A 19,011-nucleotide genomic window follows, 5' to 3' on the forward strand; every position below is an offset into this window, starting at 1 on the left:
TTGGACTTGAGTTAAATTGCATTTTAAATTCTTGATATTGCTTTATTTATACTGAAGGTTGGCTTTTCTGAGGACTTGAAGAATCTCTTTGGAGTCTCCTTGCTTCCCGCTGGTATTAGCACGTATGTCTCCATTTCCTCTCTATAAACCAGAACATGTTCCTAAACTCAGAAAACAACCCTCTGGATTTTTTTTTTCTGCCCAGTCCTTGCAAATTAACTCTTGTTTGTTTTCTACCCTCTTTCCATTAAAATTGACTCTCAGATGTGCAAAAGTGAACTTCCTGCAGTCTACAGCTCCCATTATTATTAAAAATCTAAAGAAACAGATTAGAATTCTACCTTGTACTGTTAGCGTCTCTGGGCCCCTTTAGAAGTTAATTCAAATTAGAGGACCTCTTCCCAGAAAAAAATGTACACACTACACTACACAACTTGTGTACTGTTTGGGGAGGTTCATGGATTCCCTGAAGTTGAAGAACTTCATGCATGCTTCAGTTGTTCGTTTTTTTAGAATCATAGTGCCTAGCACTGTGCAAAGTTGTGTAGTCCCAATAAAGTTATGGGTCTTTCTTGATTATGCTTTCCAAATTCAGTAGTGATGAATTTACTTCTGATGTAGCATTAAGAAGCTATTCTTAGAAATTAGGAGCATTAAAATAAACTGCATTGATGCTCTTTCATTACAGTATATGTAAGTGTAAACCTCTAGATAGAGAAGAGTTCCTATACTTCAAGTCTGTTTTTATTTTGAGAATTTTTTACTTGATGTCTGGGATTTCATAAAATCTTCAGGATTTTCACCAGGAATAAGTCAGTAAACGAGGTGAAGAAAAGTTAAGTATAGAAAAATTGCAAACCAAAATAGTGTTTCCTTTACAGATAAGCCAGAAGCATTTAAACTTGAATTTATTGGAAAATTAGTTTTCTAAATGAAAGGAAAAGAATGCTTTACCTTCCATACACAGTGGTTAGGATGCATAACTCTACAACGTAAATTAGCTCTGAGACCATTAGGAGAATTCGTTTCATTCTTTACATTAAAATTTATAATTTTGGAAATCCAGAATCTCTCAAAAGAATATACTATCCATCTAGTCTGTTGTTTTAGATACTAACTGTTGCTTAGTAAAGACTCCCTGCCACAATTTTGGGCTGGGAAATACATTAAAAATAGAGTAAACTTTCACTATTTGGTGGGTTTTGTCTAAAGTCATTGCCACCCCTGGCAGGTTAACCATCTTCTGTGTGAACTCAAGTGTGTGTGTTTGTGTGTGTGCACAAGTGTGTGTGAGTGGATTTCAGTTATGCGATACTGTCCCGAATATTTTGACTTCAATTTGGTTGATATCACATACTCAGGTTCTTTTCATATAAACAACACTGGAAGTGAAAATCACAAACAGCTGTAAAATGGTAAATAATTTATGAGGTGATATAAACAACAGAAATTAGAGTCATAAAGCACACATAGCTACCTGTTTACTGAGTAATCAGATTTTATTAGTCCTGAAAACTGAATTTAATGTGAGGCAAGAATACATCCTATCATCAAAAGAAAATGGGGGCAGGATGGATTTTAAGCCCAGCAATGCTCCACTATCACCTGACGACTACTAAGTTTAATGCTCCTTATAGCTATAATTTACACAAAATATTAGTGCATTCAGTCCTAAATGTATAAACCAGAAGTGGCTTCAGGCATAACTTGAATGGCTTGAATGCCCTGCTGTCTGAGTCCACAAGTACCTTGTACAAGAACAAACATGAAACTTCATGTTAGAAAAAACTATTTCTGGTCTTTGCAATATTAATGAAATACTGAAATTATTACTGCTTTCTACAAAAGAAATAAGGGCAAAATTGGAGTAACTCAAGTATCTGTTTCCCTTCCTTCTCAAGTAGTAATAGCTCTGGGCTCTTTGTGAAGCCCTGAGGAGCCAAGTCCAGTTCATTTGGAAGCCACTACCTCTTCCTTTTCAGAGTATAATCTATTTTCCTGACGTAAATTATTTGGTCATTTCTGAGGCTTGGCAGGAAGGTAGGGATTAGCTAATATTCTGATTATGCCTTTCTCAATCATGTGAGTGATTTTTTGAAAAGTAAACCAAATATTTCTACGTAATGCAGAGAAGTGCTCTTAATTAGTTTGAACAAAGCCATGGCCTGGAGGACAGTAGAAGGCTTACAAATTTGCGCTTTGTGAATATTTGTCAGTTTTCTTATAGATTTTTCCTTATTGAGTCTCTTTCAGATACAAGCTGTATGCCCTTTCTTTGGATGGTAACTTCATTTAAAATGAGTTTGCTCAAACGGTTTTTGCCTCTTATCACACCTCGTTTACATGATGGGCTTTGTGTATATCTTCCTAGTACTTCCCTGATGGAAGAAAAAAATGTTAAAATTATTCCCTTCTAAAATCACAAATTGATACTGCAGATAGCCTAAATTCTTGGATGCCAGTTATTACAGGGGACGATTGCTTGAGAAAAAGACTTCATAGTATAAAGTTGACTTTTAGCTATTCAGAGCCCCACAGGTCTGTTTTACTTTCCATTCAAAACCAAGAAGATACTGCTCTTATGGTATGCCAGATGTGTTACACTCAAATATCACAAACAGATTGGCTTATAAACATATTTGAGTTATCTGTGAAACTTCAAGGCTGTGCTATTAAGATGCGCCGGTCGTCCCAGGCTAAAGAAAGCTAGGCCAGCAGTGGAGCACAAAGGTGGCTTTTTTGCTTCCAGTGTTCTACTTTTTGCACCACTTCTTAATGTTAAATAGCAGTGAGAATTAGAAGAGTCAAGCTCTAAGAATAAAAGACCTTTTGATTTGCCTTCTTCCAGGTTTATAATAGAAATTAGGCTTAAATAATGATAAACCTGCAACATATTCATGTAAACATTTCTAGACTCATCTATGTGTCTGACTTTAAAGTTTGAAAATGTGATTATCTTGACCCCTTCTTTCTTTTTTCTTATTTTTATAATACCTTTTAAATAAACAGCATACACTTTGCTTTTTTAGGTGATTCTTAAGAAATTAGAGAATAGGTTAATAAAAATGTATACAGCACTTGGATGCTTTTAATGTCACGTTTCACTGGGAATATATTGATTATCATATTGAAATACTAGTAGTGTTAGGCTATTGATTTATCATATTTACACTTACTATAGCATCTATTTAATGTGGTTCAATTAGCAAGTTATGTATTTGGCTAGTATGTACCCAATAATATGCTAGATGAAATGGGGCAGTGAAGAAAACGTGGGCCCTCCTCAAATGGCAGTTGTAATGTCTAGATTGAGACAGCCCCCCCCAAAAAAAAAAAACCAAAACAAAAGCCATCAATCCAGCAATAGTGCTTCTATAGCCTAGAACAGTGCCTGGCACATAGTGGGGGCTCAATAAATATTTGTTAAATGAATTAATTTATCCCATGGATAGACTTACACACTCATTCATTTGCTGAGGTTCATTTATGTCACTACCACCTTGTCATTATTCTTGTTGATTTCAATATCAAGGTAATTGATTCTATTCTTCCACTAGTCTTTCTACCTCAGCAGCCCAACTCTTCAAACCAGAAATCTAGGAATCATCTTAGATTTTTTTCTCTCTCTTTCACCTCCCCCACCCCACATTCATTTCCTTTTGGCTCAAACTCCAAATATATCCCACATCTGAATATTTCCCATGTCTACTCCCACCACATTAGTATGAACCACCATCATCTCTCACCTGCTTGCCTAAAAAAGCCTCCAAGATGGACTCCCCATTTGTTCTCTTGTCCTCTTCCAAATAATTTATACAACAGCCAGGGAGATTTAAAAAAATCACTGCCCCAAATGCCCTGATGTTTTTCTATTACAATGCTTTAATAGTACTTGAAATCCAAACTCCCTCCTATGGCCGGGCAACAAGGCCTTGAATGGTTTTGGCCTTGCCTGCCTCTCCAGACTCATCTCAAAACTTTGCCTAGTCCACCACTCTTCAATCATACAGGCATTATTTCAGTCTCTCATGCCTACCTCAGGACCTTTGCACATACCTCCACCTGGGATGCTCTTTTCCCAGCCAAGCTGGGCCTTTCTCATCTTTCAGACTGCTGAATTATTACTTACTTAGAAATCCTCACTATGGTAACCCATCACTCCTCCCCACCCAAATCTCCCTTGATGCTATTACTGATGAACCTTCTCAGAGTAATTATTACACTCTCAGATTATCTTGTTTGTTTACTTGTCTTCCTCTTGCTCCTCCTTCCACCACCCTAGCAGCATGCCAGTTCAAACAGCAGGGCTTTGTCCCAGTCTCTGCTGTAACTCCAGTGCCTGGAATAGTGACTGACACATAATCGACAACCATTTTTTTAAAAAGGTTGAGAATAATCATCATGAATGTGTTGTATTCTTTTAGGAGCTCCACTTTCTTAGAAGAATGTGAAGAACTTTGAGTAGGTCAAGGAAAAGGGAACAGTAACAGTTATTTCTAACATAAAACCAATGAGATAAGATTTTGAAAACACAAGGCTCACAAGTAGAGTTAGTCACTGAGGACAAAAAATTATATTATTACAGTTTTATTCTTCCTAGGGAACTGGATTTCAATAATAGCAAAATGTCTTGGCAAGATGTATTAAGCTTTTGAATAGCTAATCACTAGGGCTTCTCAGTGGGGAGCTTATGGAATTCCTCATTTCTCTTACTAGATGTAAAAATGTCTTTCTTAAATGAACTATGTGAAATTTCTTTTGGAAAACCCCTTGGTTTGATTTCTAAAATGATTTGATTCTCTGATTTCCCCACACTCTTCTTCCCTGCCATTTTATTCTCTCTATCTGCTCTGTAGACGACAAGAAATTTTACCAAAATCATGTTATTTACAAATTTGTTTAGATCCCTTTCAGCCTGACAACATTTATTATCTCTAATCATTAGAAAAGTATCTACATGTTTGATTAAAATGAAGAAATAGGAGCTCAATTCAAATGCAAATGTTTTATTACTGCAGGAGAGTAGGGAGTTGGGCCAATTGGCAATAAGACTATATTTCACTTATTTATTTACCAATATTTCTGTTACAAACTTGGTGTTCTCAGTACCAAGGTACTGAGCTTCATTCTCCATTCCACTTGATATTGAAATCACCAAGAATGATGACAAGAACAATGGTGAAGTCAACAAGCCACTTCCAATGAATGACTAGGAGTGCACATGAATATCCGTGGAGTACAAGAACAGACCTGCGAATCTTAGAACTGTAGCCTGTTTATATCTGAGTTTTTGGGAGTTTGCTTATGAAACTTTCAGAAGTGCTAGTTAGACTGTTCATTGATACAATGAATACAGGCTGTGAGCCAGGCATTGTTCTAGGTCTGGGCATACAAGAATCAATAAGGGGGAATTGAGAAAAGATAGACAATATGCATATATTTTTAAAAAGATAAATTCAGATGGTAAATGCTGGGAACAAATTCAATCAATCAGAATGATGCACTAGAGACAACTTGTGGGGAGAAAATTCTTAAGCTGGGGAGATAGAGTGAAGGTTGCTGAGGAGGTGATATTTAAGCCAATACCCAAATGATGAGAAAGAACTTGCCTGGTGAAGAGCTGGGAGAAAATGATTCTAGGCAGAGAAAGCAAATGAAAAGACACTGAGGCAGGAAGAAGCTTGGTGTGTCCAAGATCCAAAACAGGCCAGTGTGGCTGGAGCAGAGTGAGTGATGGATAGAGCGGTGGAAGATGATGTTTAAGAGGTAATGCAGGCCAGACTGGGAAGAAGAGGGACTTGAAAGTCATAGAAAGAGGATGGTTTTTATTCGGAGTGTAATGGAAAGCCAACAGAGGGTCTATTTTTAAACAAAGCAGTGATGCAATCTGATTTATGTTTTAAAGGGATCTTTTTAACTGCTGTGTGGAGAATGAACTGGAAGAAGGAGATTAGAAAGGAGGCTATTTCAGAAGTCCAGGCAAGCAAAGATGGTGGTTTCAATGAAGGTGGTAGCTATGGAAGTAGAGAGAAGGGATTGGATTCAGGACATATTTTGGAAGTAGATATAACATGAGGGGATGAGGATGTTAAGAAGTTTGGATTTTACAATAAGTACAGACGTTTCTATTATAATGATAACTCTGAAAAACTTTATAGTATGCAAAAGTGTGTGCTAAAAATAATAGGGCTTATAGGAAATGTACGGTTAGGGCAAACCCTCAAAACCCATGGAAATTTGTAATAGAGCATTAAGAAGAACAATAGCAATTGCAATACTGTAAAAATGAAGTTTTCTCTCTGATGACGTTTGCACCCCACATCCCAGCCAGTTAATGCATCATAGACTTAAACTCTGGGTCAGCTTCCTCCTCCAAGATGTGAGTCCTAGAGGACATTCACTTCTAATAGAGACCATTTTCATCAAAGTTAAGAAAGTGATCTAGGACATCGCCTTTTTCATTTTTCATGGTTTAACAAGGGGTTTTAAATGTTAACATCATTTAACATTTATGGCTTTGCGGCATCTTCATCTGTACTCGCAGCCTTGTCAGATAGCTTAACATAGAAAAAACTATAGCCAATATTTAAACCATGTAATTACCCACACTAGTACTAAAGAAAGGTCTCTTTGTAAATTTCCTGCTTTTTGCTCAAGGTCTCCATATATTACTAAGACCTTCTTTTTAATGGTGTGAAAGTTTGCCACAGATCATCTCAAAATGTTAACGTGCTAGAAAAATGATGTGTAAACCAACGCTTTCTATGTTATACCAATATTATTTCCCTAATGCTTATTAAGTAAAAAGAAAGCCTTTGGACCTGTTAAGCAGAGGAGTGATGTGATCTGATTCGTGCTTCAGAAAGATCATTCTGACCGCTGAGAGGAGGACAAACAGTGAAGGGCTGGTGGGAAAAGGTGGCCGCAAGGGGTTGCTGCAGTAGTCCAGTTGAGAGGTGATGGTTAATAGATGGTTAGGCAAGGCTAATAGTGGAGATGGTGAGAAATGTCTGTATTCATTCTAGATATATTTTGGAGGTAGCAGTAATAGTATGTGCTAATGGAGTTAAAGTAGAAATTAAGGGAGACAGATTAAGGGAAAGGATTAAGGGTAAGAGATCAAGAATGACTTTCTAGGATTTTGTCCCGGGCAACTGAGTGACTGACGGGTGGTTTTAGTAACTGTGGTAGGGAAGACTGGGGAAGGAATAGGTTTGAGGAGTGGAGCAGCTGAAGGCTTCTGTCTTGGCTATGTGAAGTTTGGGATGTCTGTATGACATCTAAGGGAGATGCCAAATAGGCAATCAGACTTAGACTTGTAAGTCTAAAGCTCAAGGATGAAGTCAGAGCTGGAGATATAAACTTGGTGACATTAGCATGTTGCTCATATTTAAAGCAAGGGACTGAGGAGCTGTCCTCAGGAGAGAATATAGAGAGAGAAGAGGAGAGGACCAGACCACCCCTCCCACACTTGAGCATTTGGAGGTGAGACACAGGAGAAGGGGCCAGAAAAAGAGATCGAGAAGGAGTGCTCAGTGATGCAGGAGAAAAACATGAGAAGGTGAGTTTCTGGAAGGCTAGAAAAGAAAATATTTCAAGAAGGAATGGTCAAAAAAAAAAAAAAGAAAAAAAAGGAAGGGTCAGCTGTGCCAAATGCTGCTAGAAGGTGAGACTGAGGACAGAAAGCCGGCCATTGCCTTTGTCAAGTGGGAGGTTGTTGGTGATCTTTATTAAAAGTCATTTCAGATCAAGTGTGGTGGCTCATGCTTGTAATCCCAGCACTTTGGGAGGGCAAGGCGAGCGGATCACTTGAGGTCAGGAGTTCAAGACCAGCCTGGCCAACATGATGAAACCCAGTCTCTACTAAAAATACAAAAAACTAGCCAAGTATGGTGGCGTGTGCCTGTAATCCCAGCTACTCGGGAGGCTGAGGCAGGAGAATCACTTGAACCTGGGAGGCAAAGGTTGCAGTGAGCCAAGATTGCACCACTGCAGTCCATCCTAGGTGTCAGAGTGATTCCGTCTCAAAAAAATAAAAAAGAAAAAAAAGTCATTTCAGCAGAGTGCTGTGGATTCAACCCAAATGGAGGGAGTGGAGAAGAGAATGGGAGGAAAGGATGTAGAGGCAGCAACCATGGGCACCTATTTTGAGGAGTTTTGTTGTGAAAGAGAATAGAGAATAGGGCAGATTCTGGAAGAGAATGTAAGGTTATGGGAAGGGTTTTTTTAAATGGGTATTTATTATTGAATCTGGTTGCATAATCATGGGATACTGCAGAATAGAGAAAGGGCTGTGCAAGAGAAGAGAGGACGATTACAGGGTTGGAGCCCTGGAGTAGACTGTTTCCATTGGAGAGATGCAACCAAATTGCTTTTGGTTGGGCAATTCAATTGATCAACGCAATTAGGGAGGCTAACATCATGTTTAGCCTTGCATTGTGTGCAGCAGTTTCTGCATCTCACTCCATCAAGCCATCACACATTTTGTACTTCTGTTCAGTTGCAGAACTGGACTAAGTTTTAAGGGGATTCGTGCAGAACTATCTGCTTAAGTCACCTGTTGAACAGCAGTGGAGACTAGGCACGGCAGAGGTGAGCAGCAACCCTCATCAATTCAGGAGCATATGTGAACACACCCTAGGGACTTCTAAAAATACTTTTCAGGAAGAAAATAGACCTTGAAAGGATTTGGAAGTCTTACAAATGTAGGTGATTAAGGGATCTAGTGGAATTTGAACACTGATATAGAGGTGACCTCACTTGTACCCAGAGATTCAGAGGCTCTGGTAAAGTGAAGTACCCTTAGGTCGGTGCTTCCTAAACTTTAGCATGCAAAATCCAAGGGGCTGTTAAAACACTGGGCTCAACCCCAGAAGTTTCGACTTAGTAGGTTTGAGGTGGGGCCTGAGAATCTGTATTTCTCAAAAGCTCCCAGGTGGTGCTGCTGCTGCAGCGCCAGAGACCACACTTTAAGAGCCACTGGCACAAAGAAGGGACTGATCCCTTCTTGATGGGGGAAGTGAGGAAAAGCTTCATAAGAAAGGCAAATGAGCTGCAAAGATGCACATATGTTGGACAAGCCAAGAACAGGAGGAGAGGAGGCTCTTATTTGTTCACTTTGGTGGCAGCTTAAGCTAAATTGATCATGTGGCGATCAACGTTGATTGTTAGCAAAACTAATGAACACATCTGCTGTGCTACCAACCATCACCTCCCGAAATTTCCTCTTGTCCCTTTTATTATTATTATTTGTTGTAGGAACACTTAACATCTACTCTCTTAGTGGATAGAGCATGAGCTAAATTTTCTCAGCACACACTCACAGGTAACTTTGTAGATGTTAATAGATAATGTTAATTAGTTTGATTGTGGTGATCATGTCTACCTATATCAAAACACCAAGTTGTTGGCCGGGCGCGGTGGCTCACGCCTGTAATCCCAGCACTTTGTGAGGCCGAGGCAGGCGGATCACCTGAGGTCAGGAGTTCGAGACCAGCCTGGCCAACATGGTGAAATCCCGTCTCTACTTAAAATACAAAAAATTAGCTGGGTGTGGTGGTACGCACCTGTAATCCCAGCTACTCGGGAGGCTGAGGCAGGAGAATTGCTTGAACCTGGGAGGCGGAGATTGCAGTGAGCCGAGATCACGCCATTGCACTCCAGACTGGGGGACAAGAGCGAGACTTCATCTCAAAAAAAAGCAAAAAAACAAAACAAAACAAAAAACAACAACAACAAAACACCAAGTTGTACACCTTTTAAAAAAAATCTTATTTTAACAGAGATAGCCTATTACTTTCAACACATCACGAAGAGCCACACCAATCTCTCAATACCAAAAACTAAAGGGAGATGTCCTCCCTAAACAAGGAAATAATAGATTTGATGTTCTAAATTAGAAAATGAAAATGAAACAAAACTTCAGAGGACTCCATCTTCTTCTCCTAGCCATTACCAACTCAGGGTTATAAATATCCTCTTTAAATAAAACTCAAAACTGCAACTTTAAAAAAAGATCTACCCTTTTAGCAGATTTTAAGTATACAATACAGTATCATTAGCTATGGGCACTATGCTGTATAATAGATCTCCAGAACTTATTTATCTTACATAACTGAAATTGTCTACTCTTTAATCATTAATGCTCAGGGGTTCTTAACCAAAGATTTGCCTTAATCTCTCTTGAGTGTGCAGCTTGGTATTTGCCCATTATTATGAGGAGTGAAGATTATGAAATACTGATTTTAAGTAATGCAGTCTTAATGGAGATGTTAGTTTTACCAATTAACTATGACGTAAAAAGATTTGGATGATGCCCGGCTATTTCTGTACTGCAAATTTAGATTCTGTGAATCTCAATTGATTTATAAAGGAGGAAAGAAGGGGGGATAGCCGGGCACGGTGGCTCATGCCTGTAATCCCAGCACTTTGGAAGGCCGAGGCGGGCGGATCACGAGGTCAGGAGATTGAGACCATCCTGGCTAACACAGTGAAACCCCGTCTCTACTAAAAATACAAAAAAATTAGCCGGGCGTGGTGGTGGGCGCCTGTAGTCCCGCGGCTACTCGGGAGGCTGAGGCAGGAGAATGGCGTGAACCCAGGAGGCTGAGCTTGCTAGTGAGCCGAGATCGCGCCACTGCACTCCAGCCTGGGCAACAGGGCGAGACTCCATCTCAAAAAAAAAAAAAAAAAAAGAAAGAAAGAATAAAAGAAAGGGGGACACATGTGTTTTATTTCCTACCATAAAATATAATAGATGATTAATAAACATTTCAGAAAAATAACCACTGTTCCCTTCCTCTTATTCCAGAAAACCTTTGCTTATTTAATAGCTTAAGGGTCTACCCATCCTATGAAGACACAGTTTTACTGTCCCTTGCTATAGACTGATATTCTTTTGTTCGGTTTAGTTAAGTTTAGTTTTTAAATTAAGCAAAGACCAGTAGCATTATTAGTGTCTTTGGAGGTTTGCACAGATGAACACTGTTCATGCTGAAACATCCTAGTTGACTTGCAGTTATCTTATTACAAATTAGAATTTTTTTATTAAATGCAAGTTTCTCTTAAAATATATTTTAATATATTTAAAGAAATGGTATTTCTTTAAATTAGATTTCATAAAGTGGGTTTGCCGCATCATAACTCAAAATTTATGTATTTATGTAAAATTTATGTAAACAAACTTTAAATTATTTTAAATTTTGATAGATTTTGCCAAATTGCCCTCCAGAAATGTTGAATTAATTTACACTCACAAGAGTATGAGAGTGTTCTATTCCCATATTTTTGTTAATACTAGGTATTACTGACCTTCTAAGCTTTTGCCAATCTAATAGTTGAAAATGGTATCTTATTTTAATTTGTTCTTTCCTGATAAGAAAGTTAAGTATTGTTTTAAATGTTTGTTGACTCTGTATTTCTTCCTTTTTGATTTGGTTGTTCATATCTTTTGCTCAGTTTTTTGATTTGGTTGTTCATATCTTTTGCTCAGTTTCCTGTTGGCTTATTTGCCTTTTTTAATGATTCATAGAAGTTTTTTATATTATGGATAGAAACCATATGGTACTGCAAGTAGATTCTCTCAGTCTGCTCTTTGTCTTGTAACTTTATATTGGTTTTAGGTACACAGAAGCTCACCTTGTGTCAACTGGTAAATCTTTCTCTTTATGACTCCTGAGCTTCATGTCAGAGTTGGAAAGGCCTTCCCCACTTCAATATTACATTTATTGTGATATATTTCCCATACATACATTTCTATATATTATTTTAGCAGTTTAATAGTTTAATTTTTTATGTTTACATCTTTAACCTTATAGTATTTCCTTTCATGCGAAGTATGAGAAACAAATTTGGGTGTGGAGAATTAAGAGCTCAGTTTTAGACATATTAAATTTGAGATGCCTGGGCTGGGCGCAGTGGCTCACTCCTGTAATCCCAGCACTTTGGGAAGCCAAGGCGGGCGGATCGCCTGAGGTTGGGAGTTCGAGACCAGCCTGACCAACGTGGAGAAACCCCGTCTCTACTAAAAATACAAAATTAGCTGGGCGTGGTGGCGCATGCCTGTAATCCCAGCTACTCGGGAGGCTGAGGCAGGAGAATCGCTTGAACCCGGGAGGCAGAGGTTGCGGTGAGCCCAGATCGCGCCATTGCACTCCAGCCTGGGCAAAAAGAGCGAAACTCCGTCTCAAAAAAAAAAAAAAAAAAAAAAAAAAAAAAAAACAGTTTGAGATGCCTATTAGAGGAGACGTCTGGGCTGGAGATGTAAATTTGTGAGCCATAGTTACATAGAAGATACTTAAAACTTTGGGCTCGGATTGTCAAAAGAGAGATTACAGAATCAGAGGAGAGATCCCAGAACCAATCAATCCCTGAGGTAATCTGAGATTTAGGGTTTGAACAAAGGAGACTGAGAAGAAAGCTAGTGAGGTCAGAGAAAAACAGTACAAGGTGGTGCCATAAAGTGAATAAGAGAATGTTTGAAGAAGAAAGAAAACTGATCAACTCTGTTGAATGCCTCTAAGAGATTGAGTAGGATAAAGACAAAGAAGTAGGAATGGATTTAGTAACAGTGAGATGATTGGTGACTTTGACAAAAGTAGATACACTGGAAAATGGAAGTTTAATGGAGTGGGTTTAGGAGTGAATGGAAGTGAGAAGTAGAGATAGTGACCAAACATGGACAAGTTCAAGAAGTTTTGCTACAAAGGGGATCATAAAAATGAAAATAGAGATGTGGGAGGGGTGTAAGAAGCGGGAGATACATGGGCATATTTGAATGAAGATGGGAATGATCCAATAGAGATGGAAAAATTGAGGGGGGAGAGAAAGGGGATAATCAAGTTTTAAGATAGGCCTTAAACCTGATGCTTTTCCCCAATGAATAGCCAGTTGTCTCGATATCATCATTTGATTAATCCATCTGTTCCTCGGTAATTTGAAACCTCTAAAAATATGAAATTCCCATATATATTTGTACTCTATATTCTGTTCCACTGATCTTCCATGACTTGGTCTTCCAAACTGCTAAGACAGTTTTCAAGTTATTTCCATTGCTATTTATCTATTTTATTGAGTTATTTTATTTCAGCAATTATGTTTTCAATTTGTAAGAACTCTGTCTTATTCTCTGATTACTTCTTTTTCATAGCTCACCAATTTTACCCTATGAATGCAATATTATCTTTGACATCTCTCAAGATGCTAATTAGGATTTTTCAAACATATTTGCTTCTGTGTTCCACATTCACTTTTCCCTCAGAAGTCCACTGTTTTGCCTTGTCATCTTAGTGTTTCTGTATCATGCTGTCGGTTTTTCTTAAATGTCTGGTGACTGGCCATTGATACAGAGGTCTAGATTGCTATATTTTGGTAACTGGTTTGGGGTCCTCAGCAGTTATGGAGGTTACCATTCACCTGACAGGCCTCCTCTCTGAATGTGACAGAGATGTGCAGGTGAATGGTTGGGGGTGAGCCAACAGGAGGGCTCCTATTTATGAAATGTGGATTGGATAGGCACATTTGTGTTGCAGTTTGGGTAGCTAGTAGCTTAGAGGTTGGGAAAGCCTCTTATTGGGTGTATACTGCTTTAGAGGACTTAACTGCTAGACCTAGATGGCTTTTGTCTCCATATCCTTATGATGGCCTCTAAATTACCTGGGCAGTCCCACTTCACTCTCCAACCACAAAGTCCCTGGTAGGCTCCCTCTCTATGCAAAAGAAGAGCTTTATTTAGAAAGCTATTCTCACTGGCTATAGCCAGGGGTGAATACTACAGCAAGACACTGTGCACAGAGTTGGAACATGGCCCAGAAGCTTTGGCAGACCTTCGACTCACTTCTCTGCTTTCTGCTCCATGACTCACTCTAGCTTCTAGCCTCTGCAAACTCTGAGCTTTTTCTGGTGCTTCATTTGGAAGATACATGATCATTTCTCCAATATGCTTCTCCTATTTCTATGTTAGCAGGGCACGGGTTCCACATTATAATTTTCAGACATTTCCTACTATTTCAGTGAGGTCACATAACATAGCACAGACCCTAGAGGCCAGACTGCCTGGCTTGGACAAGCTATGTAACTTCTCTGTGGCTCTGTTTACTCAATTTTTAAAAATGAGATAATAATAGTACCTGCCTTATAGAACTATTTAAATGCTTTAATACATGTCAATTGCTTAGTGTATTACCTAGCCCACTGTATTTTTCTGGTCTGCTGGTGATACCTTTTCTGGCTTTCCAGCACTGCTCTAGATTATTTTCTTCTTATTTTTATATTTATTTCGGCATTTTAGTGAGAGTTTGGAACGAACATGAGATTAAATACAGTGGCTTCATTTATCTCCTTAAACTGGAAGCAAGCACTTGTATTTGAAAACATAATGGAATGAACATTCTAAGTTAGTTTTCTAACATTTTGGACTTTACCCTCTCTTGATTTACTTAGAGTAGCTGTAAGAAACCTTAGAGATCATCTAACAGAGCACCCTCACTTAAAAAAATGGGCAAAGGAATGAGAAATAACTTCCCCAAGGTTGAAAATCTATTTAGGAAAAGATCTCAGACTAGAGTCAAGATCTCTTGCCTCCTAGTGCAATTTCCCTACCACTAAAAATAAGTAAATAAATAATGGCTAACACATTTGCCAAGATTAGAAACTCCATTATATCTGCGTGCGTCCTATGTCTTTCCTCCTCTTAGAACAGTGCCTCCTTCTATTGAAAGCCAATCCTTCCACCTGAACTTTGATCCCATCCTCTCCACCTGCTTTCTCCAGAATTTTATATTATTAGTAACACTTTATTTCTGTGGTATATTCAACCTCTTGCTCTAACTGGATCCTTTCCATTGGCCTTTAATGATGTCAATACCTATCCCTTTAAGAAAAAGAAACAAAAAACTCATTTAGCCCGCCGAATCCCATCCCCAGATTCTCTTCTGTCTCTCCACTCTTCCACCTCCAAACTCCTACAAAGTACTCTCCATATTGTCAGTACCAGCTCTTCCTCTCCACTTCTCTCATCCCACTTCAATCTGCCTTTGGCTCAACACTCCAGCAAAGACTTCTCACTAAGGTCACTTATGACCTCCATGCTGCTAAATCCAACAGACATTTTTATTAGACTGTTCTACTTCTCAGCAGCATTTGGTACAGGTGATCAGTTCCTCCATCTTCAAATACATTCTTCTTTAGGCTTTAGGATTCTAGCATCCCTCTGGTTTTTTTCCTACCTCCTTGCCCATTCTTTATAAGTAATGTTTGCTGGCTCATCACTTCCATGTGGCCAGTAAATGTTGCAGTTACACAAAGCTTGGTCTTATCCCTGTTTATGTTTCACTGTCTGCTCTCTCTGGGTAAGTTATAGCCCAAGGCTTTAACAGCCATCTGTATACGGCTGGCCCCTAAATGTATATCTCTAACTCAGATCCCTCTCCTGAATAACTGACTTCTGTTATCACTCAAAATCTACATGCTCAAAATGGAAGTCTTTATTCCCTCTCCTAAACATGACACTCTTCCAGTGTTTCATATCTCCGTGAAAGGCAGACTCATCAATCAACTTATGTAACCCCCAAACCTAGGGATTATCCTGATACCCCCCCTTCCTTATGTCAAATTCAGTACCAAATGTGTCCATTTTCTCTTTTCTTTTATTATTTTCTTTTCTTTTTCCTTCCTTCTTTCCTTCCTTCCTTTCTCCTTCCCTCCCTCCCTCTCCCTCCCTCTCTCTCTCTCTCTCTCTCTCTCTCTCTCTTTCTTTCTTCCTTTTTTTGAGATAGGGTATGACTTTGTCACCCAGGCTAGAGTGCAGTGGCGTGATCATGGCTCACTACAGCCTCAAACTCCAGGGCTCAAGCAATCCTCCCACCTCAGTCTCCTGAGTAGCTGGGATTACAGGCATGAGCCACCATACTCAGCTAATTTTTTAATTTTATATTTTGTAGAGATTGAAATCTCACTATGTTGCCCAGGCTGGTCTCAAACTCCTTATCTGAAGCCATTCTCCTGCCTTGGCCTCCCAAAGTGCTGGGATTACAGGTGTGAGCCACTGCATCCAGCTAATTTTATTTTCTAAATGTCTCTTGAATCCATCCACTTCTCTCTACTTCCAACTCCTTTTCCCCAACCTCCAGATGCAGCTACTGTCGTCTCTTCCCTAGACAATGAGAACAGTTCTCTAACTGGCCTACTCACATTCACTGACTCCTTCAATCTTTTCTGCCTACTGCAGCCAGACTGGTGTTTTTCAAAATGCACATCTGATTATTTCATTCCCACTCCCACCGCTTCCCCACACTCCTCAGCACATATATCTTTAAACCCCTTTAAAGGCTTCATATTATTATTAGGAATAAGACAAAACTCTTCAACATGGCCTGCAAAGCCCTGCTTGCTTTGGCTCCTGCCTGCCTTCCCAGCTCTTCTCCCACTGGTTCCCTCTCATTGCCTCCACTCCAATCACATAGCTTCCTCTGCTCCTGTCACTCGGGTTTGCCACGCCCCTCCCATTACACTCTTCCCTCCCTTCTTTGCTTGGCTAACTCCTTGTCTTATCAGATCTGAGCTCAAGCATTACTTCCACAGAGAGGGTACCCTGTCTTCCCTGATGAAGTCAGGGATCCTTATCACAGGCTCTTCTTTTACCAGGCATTGAGTCCTCACCGTTGCAGTTGTACATTTACTTGTGTGAATACTGGGATAATTTTTCTCCCACTGCTACTTCTCATGTGTCCATTCAACAAATATTTACTGAGTCCTCACTACTTACCAGGCATTATTTTGGAAAGGGTGACAAACCGTAAACAAATAAATGTGTAATATGATACCAAGAGGTGAAAAGTGCTATGAAGAAACACGAAGTGGAGCAACAGGCCAGAGACTTTGAAAGGCTGCTACTTTGGATAGGATAGTTAGAGAAGGGGAGCTAAACACTGAGTACACATGGACACAAAGAAGGCGACAACACGCCGGGCATGGTGGCTCACGCCTGTAATCCCAGCACTTTGGGAGGCTGAGGCAGGCCGATCACGAGGTCAGGAGTTCAAGACCAGCCTAGCCAATATGGTGGAATCTTGTCTCTACTAAAAATACAAAAATTAGCTGGGCGTGGTGGCACACACCTGTAGTCCCAGCTACTCAGGAGGCTGAGGCAGAGGAATCGCTTGAACCCAGGAGGCGGAGGTTGCAGTGAGCCGAGATCATGCCACTGCACTCCAGCCTGGGTGACAGAGCAAGACTCTGTCTCAAAAAAAAATAAATAAATAAAAAATAAAAAAAAAGAAGGGGACAACAGACACCGGGACCTACTTGAAGGTGGAAGGAGGGAGAGGATAGAAAAACTACCTATCAGGTACTCTGCTGATTACCTGGGTGGTGAAATAATCTGTACACCAAACCCCCATGACACACAGTTTACCTATATAACAAACCTGCACATGTACCTAAAGTAAAAGTTTTAAAAGAAAGGATAATTAAAGAAGGAAGACATGACTGAGCACAGATTTGAATGGAGTGAGAGAACTCATCACAGGGATGCCTGGGGGGTGGGCATTCTGGGAAGAGCAAATGGTGAGGGTAAAGACTAGAGGGTGTTTAGCCTGTTCAAGGAGGAGCCAGGAAGTCAGCGAAGGGGAGTGGAGTGAAGGGGAGAGTGGTAAAAGATAAGAGCAGAGATGGAGGCAGGGACCGGGTCAGGGAGGGCCTTGTAGGCTATGCTGTGGGAAGAGAAGCAACTAGAAGCTTTTTTAATTGATACATAATATTTGTATGTATTTATGGTGTATATGTGATATTTTGCTACATGTATAGACTGTGTAATGATCAAGTCAGGATATTTGGGATGTCAATCACTTTGAGCATTTTTGTTTGCTTTGTTTTGTTTTGTGTGTGTGTGTGTGTGTGTGTATGTGTGTGTGTGTGTGTGTGTGTGTTTGAGACAGGATCTTGCTCTGTCACCCAGGCTGGAGTGCAGTGGCATGATCTAGGCTCACTGCAGCCTTGATCACCTGAACTCAAGCGATCCTCACCCTCCCCAATAGCTGGGACAACAGGCGTGTGCCACCACACCCAGCTAATTTTTTTTATTATTTGTAGAAACGAGGTTTTGCCATGTTGCCCAGGCTTGTCTCAAACTCCTGGGCTCATGCGATCCTCCCACCTCAGCCTCCCAAAGTGCTGGAATTATAGGCGGGAGCCACTGCACCCAGCCTCCACCTTGAGTATTTAGGTGTTGGGAACATTTCAAGTCTTCTCTTCTAGCTATTTTGAAATACATAATACATTGTTGCTAACTATAGACACTCTATTCTGCTACCAAACAGTAGAAGGTTTGTTTGAATATAGAAGAATACCTTCTATTTAACTGTAGTTTAGAGCCTCTGTTCTTCTTCCTGCTCCCACCCACACACCCTTCCCAGTGTTTGGTATCTATTCTCTACCCCCATGAGACAAACTTTTTTCATTATAATATTTTAAACAAGGAGTGACTGCATTCCATGTTCTAAAATGGTCACTATGGCTGTCTTGGGATGAATGGTTTAGAAAGGGGTAAAGGTGGAGGTCAGGAGTCCAGTTAGGAGGCTGTGGTGGTGGTGGTCCTGGGGAAAAATGATGAGGGCTTGGACTACAGTGAATGTTGGAGAGGTAGTGAGAAAGCACAGATTGGAAAGCATCTGGAAGGCAGAACTTTCAGGATATGTGGATGTGTTCCTCCAACCCCTCTGGTGTGTTTCCTTCTCACTTACAGGAAAAGCCAAAAGCTGTAGCGTGGCCAATGAGGTCCTATGTTACCTGGTCCTCATCTTCTTTTCCCCTCACTCCCTCTCTTCTAACCACACTGGCCTGCCTTTCTGTGAACAGATTAAGCACTATCTCATCTTTTGAATTTGATGTTCCCTCAGGTATCAGGAAAGCAGGTGTCCATGTGGTTTTTCCCCCTCAGGGTTCTGCTGAAGTGTCACCTTATCAGAAAATCCTTTTTTGGCCACCCTCTATAAATTAGCACCTAGCCTACCACTC

Source organism: Homo sapiens, chromosome X (genome assembly GCF_000001405.40).
Source record: "Homo sapiens chromosome X, GRCh38.p14 Primary Assembly".
Lineage (NCBI taxonomy): Eukaryota > Metazoa > Chordata > Mammalia > Primates > Hominidae > Homo > Homo sapiens.